The sequence below is a fragment of the Homo sapiens genome, chromosome 11 (assembly GCF_000001405.40).
Source record: "Homo sapiens chromosome 11, GRCh38.p14 Primary Assembly".
Taxonomy (NCBI): domain Eukaryota; kingdom Metazoa; phylum Chordata; class Mammalia; order Primates; family Hominidae; genus Homo; species Homo sapiens.
The window spans coordinates 6,204,527-6,211,344 of NC_000011.10; the positions used below are offsets into that span (position 1 = coordinate 6,204,527).

General features: G+C 45.8%; 1 protein-coding gene across 1 annotated transcript; it reads left to right on the forward strand.

The window, feature by feature from the left end:
- Positions 1 to 1,030: 1,030 nt before the first annotated feature.
- Positions 1,031 to 6,609, forward strand: C11orf42 (chromosome 11 open reading frame 42). Its single transcript, NM_173525.3, has 3 exons — positions 1,031 to 1,161; positions 5,324 to 6,122; positions 6,386 to 6,609. The coding sequence occupies exons 1-3, from the start codon at positions 1,090 to 1,092 to the stop codon at positions 6,514 to 6,516; spliced, it is 1,002 nt and encodes a 333-aa protein (NP_775796.2). The 5' UTR covers positions 1,031 to 1,089; the 3' UTR covers positions 6,517 to 6,609.

The window sequence follows — 6,818 nt, forward strand, 5'->3', positions numbered from 1 at the left end:
CTCGTTACTAAGGCAACATTATCCCAATTATATTCTTACCCTCCACATTGTCACACTGCTCAGCACAGCAACCTCCTACACACACCTGGTTTTCATTGCAATTGTAACCCACCCATTAATAATGGTTTTCAACGTAAGTTATGCATTAAAATTGCCTGAAGAGCTTTTAGAAATTGTGATGCCCAGGCACACCCCAGATCAATTAAATCAGAATCTCTGGCACCAGTAATTGATCCAGGCAACAGTAATTTTTAAGCTCCCAGGCAATTCCAAAGTGCAGCCAAGGCTGGGACCACTGCTTGGTTCTCAGTATAAGCCCTGATCTATATAGTCATGCATTGCTTAACAACAGGGTATGTTCTGAGAAATGCATCCTTAGGCAATTTTATCATTGCGCAAACATCATAGAGTGTACTTACACAAACCTAGATGGTATAGCCTACTACACAGCTAGGCTCTATGGTATAGCCTATTGCTCTTGGGCTACAAATCTGTACAGCATGTTACTGTAGTGAATACTATATGAAATTGTAACACAATGGTATTTGTGTATCAAAACATACCTAAACATAGAAAAAGTAAAGTAAAAACATGGCATTATACTCTTATGGCGTCAGACCACTGTCAGTCACATATCATTTTCCAAAACACTGTTAGGTGGCTCATAACTGTACTTCTCCCGTGTCCTTTAGGACCCCAATCCAACCTCACAGAGAAGCATCTGCAGCTAAGATAGTAAATTGCTTCAGAGATGCTGCTGAAGGGAGGAGAGGCCTGATCCTGTTTCCTTAAAGAACTCAGACCAAGAACTACACACACACATACACATATACAAACACACCCTAACAGACCCTGCATTTTCTTCCCCTAATGCAGGAGGATGGATAGGTGACTCAAGAGTAAGAATTACAGACTGCAGTGAAGCTAGGAAAGTCACTGTCCTCCCCCTATCCAAGGTACAATTATCTAGCAGGACCTCTATGATGTCATGCAGTGGTTTAGGGCCCAAGACCTCAGGTCTCACCTCCCTGGGCTGCCTGGGGTTCCTGCAGCAGCCACTGCCCTGCCCAATCCCTCCCATACCCCACCATGTTGGTGGGTACCCCCAACCTGCTGACACTGGATGAAGCTGATGCCACCTGGACCCTCATCAAGGATAAGGTAGGTAAAGTAAGGAGGCTAAAGAGGAAGCAACGAAGTGTGACCTGCATGGGTCTCAGCAGCTTGTGAGTAGGAAGGGGTGGGAAGTCTGAAAACAATAATAACCAACATTTACTCACTGCTTCCATATGTGCCAGGCACTGCAGTAAAGTTATTGGCACGAACCGCCCCATTTAATGACAACTACAAAAACAGTAAAAAAGGTTCACTGAAAAGCAACGTATAGGGAATTATGAGCAAAGAGGAGATACGCTAAGTCAGGGGTGAGACAGGAGATCAGGAAGGCTTCCTGGAAAGAGTGACATTCTAGCTAGGCAAGCAGGAGTTATTCACACAAAGAGGGAGAGGAGAACCTGACAAAAAGTGCTTAATAAATACCTGAATTAATGAGCATGGGAGGGTGGTGAGTGTATAGTAATTTAATAGTAATTAAATGTAGAGTATTTGTAAAAACAAGGAGAGGAAAAAGAACAACTCATATTTGAGAACTCCTAATAATCTTCTAGAGCAGAGTTCAAAGAAGCAGTGGTAAAAATAAAGCCAAAGAGATATAGGGGCTAGTCTTAGAACCAGGACTTCCTATAGAACCAGCTTCCTATAGAATCTGAACTTTATCTGAAACTCTTTCACAGATCTCCTCCACCTTAACTTCCACAAAATAAGAAATTTGGATTTTGAGGCAAATTTGTATATTTTAAGGAGCAGGACAATCTCAGCTGTATCTGGGTTGCAGATATCCAACAAATCCTACCAAATCACTTTTCAGCTGCAGACTGGAAATTTCAGATCAGAGAATTTAGAATCAGATTCTATGTGATTTGAAGGAAGGTGAATTTAAAACATTCATAGAAGTCAGCCTACCAGGCTTAAAAAAAAAAAAAATCTTAAAGCAGTGCCTACCACACTCAAAGAAGATTTAATGGCATGCTGCTTCCATTCCAAATAGGGTAGCTGCTTACCACAAAGGCCAGCTTCCCAGGGAAGCAAAAACTGGAGAGCTCAAGGTCTTCCCAAGTATTAGAGCAACTGGTTTCAGCAGTGTAGAAGGTTGGTCCTGGACTAGATCAAGCAGAATTAGATTGAAAATAAACAGTCTCCCACTATTAGAAAGCTATGCCATCTCTGAGTATCAGAAAAACTCACTATCCTATTTAAATTGAAAATTGTCAGGAAAATCGGGGTAGAGATATGCAGGATAAATCACTGGCATTACGGGGCAAATTCAAGGATTAGGTCACCTTTAAGTGACCTGGTTTCCTGTGTCCAAAACCACGGACAGTTTACTGAACATATGGTAAAAACATTTGGCTAAACAGAATGTGGCTCAAGAGCTCCACATTCAGAATTTGAAGCAACCAAGAGACATCTAGGAAAACAATATTCCACCATCACTTTCCTGGGATGCCCCTGGAAAACCTAAATTTGTGGGCCTAAGGTCCATATAATTTCTATGAAGAAGCAGAAGTTCAGTAGGAGCACATAGTAGTCTTAAATAGTGATTCTACCAAGAACACAGTCTCCCTAACAAAGAACCGAGCTCCTTATTTTTCCTATTTTAGGATAACCACTGTGGCTGTCAAGGTTAAGGAGGGTTAGAATTAGACAACTTAATGCCTGTCAGCATATAGGAAGAGCGTATGGGGAATAAAGAGCCTCCAGCTAAACCAGAGATTCACCCTTTTAGCAGAAACTTGGATAATAAGCACCAGATATATTAAATGTCACACTCCTATCAGAGGGGCCTCTTCTAGAGACACTCCCATTTGTCTTATTTGTGTAGGATCCTTGACACCAAAGGAGCAGTTAGTGTGAGATTCTGATGTCATGCTTGGTGCCTCTGATTTCATGGTCATGGGGCAAAGCATTGCATCCAAAAATGTCAACCCACCAGTGTTCTGCTCTCTCCCTGGAAACGCAACTGGTCCTTCTCAGAGCCCCACCCAAAAGGAAGTGTTTTCCAGTGAAGCAAAGGAGAAGGAATGATGGGAAACTGTCCCATGCAGACCACAAAAGAACATCAGTTATTCCTTCAGCCAGGTGACAAGACAGTAGTCTACAAGCTACCTCAGCTTATCCAAGGTGCAGATGCAACTCCATAGTTAGCTACCTTCCTCTTATGCTAGGAGGCAGTACTTCCAAAACAGCTTTGTAGAAAAAGCAGATCAGCCTTAAGGAGCCACTGGTGAATTCTACCAGAAGGCCAACAAAGAGGGCAATGCCATCAGTAGGGGCATAGATGTGCGAAATTTGGTCCTGGAGGTAGGGAGTAGAGTACAGCACTGTAAGCACTGGGCTCAAATATAAGAGATGCCCAAAGAGGAAATTCTGTGTGCCCTTGCTCCCTAGTAGAGCAGAGAACCAGAAACATCAGCCACAAAATCCTGAATGGGTTGAAACCATACTTAAGTACAATTACTAGAGAGGCTCTTATAGGTTTCCCAATTAGTCATGAAATAAACTTTCCAGGGTTACCAACCCCAAAAAGGCCATGATGAAACAAACAAACAAACAAACAAACAAACCACACACACACACACACGATTAACTAAAATCCCTGAAAGTATACCGTAACTAACATTATAAAGATGAGGCCTCAAATTCCCTACAAGAACTACCCCTTGCAGCTAGGGTAGAAGGCATATACTATGAGGTAAGAGATATGGTATAAGAATGGACATTCCAAATCTATTTCTGCGTAACCTACTATTGATTAAAGACATCACCCATGTAACCAGTCACCTAAGAAGAATCCTTAAAGATTCTTTTCTCTTTTTCTTGAGACTCTGTGGAGTGCAGTGGTGCCATCTCGGCTCACTGCAACCTCCGCTTCCCAGGTTCAAGCAATTCTCCTGCCTCAGTATCATGAGTAGCTGGGATTACAGGCGTGTGCCACCACACCCAGCTAATTTTTCTATTTTTAGTAGAGACAGGGTTTCACCATGTTGGTCAGGATGGTCTCCAACTCCTGACCTCAGGTGATCCACCTGTCTCGGCCTCCCAAAGTGCTGGGATTATAGGCATGAGCCAGGGTGCACAGCCGAGGATTCTTTTTTCCCTACCTCCTGAGTGACTAAGTTCTACTAATTCTATAACCTAAATATCTCTAATATCTTCCCTCACTATTTTAGTTCAGGACCTTATTATGCCTTGCCTGGAGTATTGCAATACTCTTATTTTATGACTTCCTATTAAAAATTAGCTTTCTGGCCAGGCGCGGTGGCTCACATCTGTAATCTCAACACTTTGGGAGGCTGAGGCAGGCGGACTGCCTGAGCTCAGGAGTTCAAAACCAGCCTGGGCAACAGAGTGAAACCCCATCTCTACTAAAAATACAAAAAACTAACCAGGTGTGGTGGTGGGTGCCTGTAGTTCCAGCTACTTGGGAGGCTGAGCCAGGACAATCACTTGAACCCAGGAGGCAGAGGTTTCAGTGAGCCGAGATCGCACCACTGTACTCCAGCCTAGGCGACGAAGGAGAACCGACTCAAAAAAAAAAAAAAAAAAAAAATTAGCTTTCAGAAACACCTATCTGATCCTGTTCCTCCTACCCAGAGGCCTTCAGGCGGCTTCCCACTGCCTTCAGGACAAAATTCACTTGACATACACACAAGCCTTTCATAATCTAGTTCCTGTGTGCCTTTCCCTCCTCATACCATACATACCAGCAATATAAAATTATGTGTTCCTAAATGTGCCCCCCTTGATTTGTAAATTCAAGTTTTTTCACCGACTCTTATGCCTGAATTGACCATTCTCCTACCTAGATAATTGCTTCAAAACTCAAGTATCACCATCTAGAAACCTTCCTTGATCCTCTTTCCATGAAAGGTAAAGACTGTTCAATCACTTCCTGTCTCCTTCACACCTTGCTCTCTATTAATATTTTACATAGCAGACTGTTTACATTTTTGTGTTCTCCAGTAGACTAAACTATATTAGGACAAAGACAAAGTCTCATTCTTTTATGTTTTCCCAGTACTTAGATAGTTTGACACGTAAACATTCAAGGTTTTGCTGCCGGAGAGCTGGGAGGTAAGCAGAAAGCATAAATCTGAACACATTATAGAGATGTAACTGAACGTGAACCTGGGGGTCAATTTAAAGTAGGCAACCAGTTAACTTCTGACCCTAAGTCCCTGACCTATAAACTGGCCACCTGCAGGTCATCGAGGAGCACTTTGGGCCCAATGCAGTAGCAGTACCTTTCCTGTCAGATGCAGCCTGCTATGACCTACTGGGTGTGCTGGTAAAACAGTCCCGCCCAGCCCATACCCGCCTGGCTTTGCCAGGTCGGCAGGGCCGGAGGGCACTGAAACCAGTGGGGCCACTACCAAGCCTCCTGGAGCAGGCAGGATCTGAGGGTGCCTTCGCCCACTGCACTCGGGAATACTCACCAAATGGCCGAGCAGAGAGAGCCTATGAAGAGACGCGAATGTTGGATGGACAGCCCTGCAAGATCCGCCTACATATGGGTGACCTGCGCAAGAAGGTTGCCTTCCTGTTGCTGCCACCAGGGCAGGTGAGCCTACAGCAGACTCTTCCCTGGCTCCGAAGCACCCACAGCATCTATGTCATCTACCAGGTCTTCTCTTGTTCCTGGCTGCAGCTGGGGCTGACGTCTACAGCCCGTGAGCCCCAGCTCCTCCGGCTACTTCGGTCATTACCTGTTGCCTTCTCCTGCCTCAAGTTTTCACTGCAGTCTAAGGGCGTGCTGGGACCACAGAAGCCTCTCACTAAAGACCCATTGCCCCATGGGGCCAACTGGGTCAGACCCAACCTCAGCATCATGCCGCCTCTGGCCCCCACATCAGCACCTGCTGATACAACTGAAGCTGCTGATGTGCCCCCACCTGTCCCAGCCCCACCTACGCCACCTCCCCAGGAAGGGCCAGAGGACAAACCCACCAGATTCTCCTACAAGGGCCGAAACCCCTTCTGGAGGGGGCCCCAGATACTGTCAGGTACTACTAGGGGAAATGATGATGAGATGGATGGGAGGGACAAAGTGAAGGAGGGAGAAGGCATGAGAATTAAGTATGTGAGGAATCCATTACTCAGCACAGGGCTCTGGTGAAAGAGATGGAATGAGGGAGACTGGGGAGGGTGAGATGGAATGAGGAGGCCCTAGGAAGGGGATTGGGATGGCACAGAGGACCAGAGGGAAAAGCTAGGGGGGGAAAAGACCAGCCATGAGTCAAGCTGTGACTATCCCCAACCCTGGCAGAGAACTGGCTCTTCAGCCCCCGCAGCCCTCCACCAGGAGCCCAGGGTGGGGGCCCCAGGGACCCCGACGGGCACTCCATGTCCCTGCCCCTGCTGCAGGGTCTATCCTCAGAGTTCGACAGTGACGACTGAAGCTGAAGCAAAAGATTCCGGGGGCAAAGCCCCCAAGATCTGGCATAGGGGTACTGGTCTCTAATAAACATCAGCTGCTGCTCCCCCAAACCATCCTGGGCCCATGCTGCTTATTCCTTCTGGGATCCAGAGAAGAGGGAAGAGTCCCTTCACCCTCTAAGGGCATAAGGGGTACCTTGAAACCTTGGCAGCAATGTCCTTACCAAAGAGAAAATACTTCTGACCACCTCCCCGACTATGTACAACCTTTTCTGGGGCCCCAGCCCCACAGAAAAAAATGGGAAAGAAAAATGAGCACAGAA

Excerpts from the sequence above, each read along its gene's own strand:
- C11orf42 (NM_173525.3), top strand. The coding sequence starts at position 1,090 with ATGTTGGTGGGTACCCCCAACCTGCTGACACTGGATGAAGCTGATGCC. Across the intron at positions 1,162-5,323 it reads GGACCCTCATCAAGGATAAG|GTCATCGAGGAGCACTTTGG; the intron begins GTAGGTAAAGTA and ends GGCCACCTGCAG. Across the intron at positions 6,123-6,385 it reads GGGGCCCCAGATACTGTCAG|AGAACTGGCTCTTCAGCCCC; the intron begins GTACTACTAGGG and ends CAACCCTGGCAG.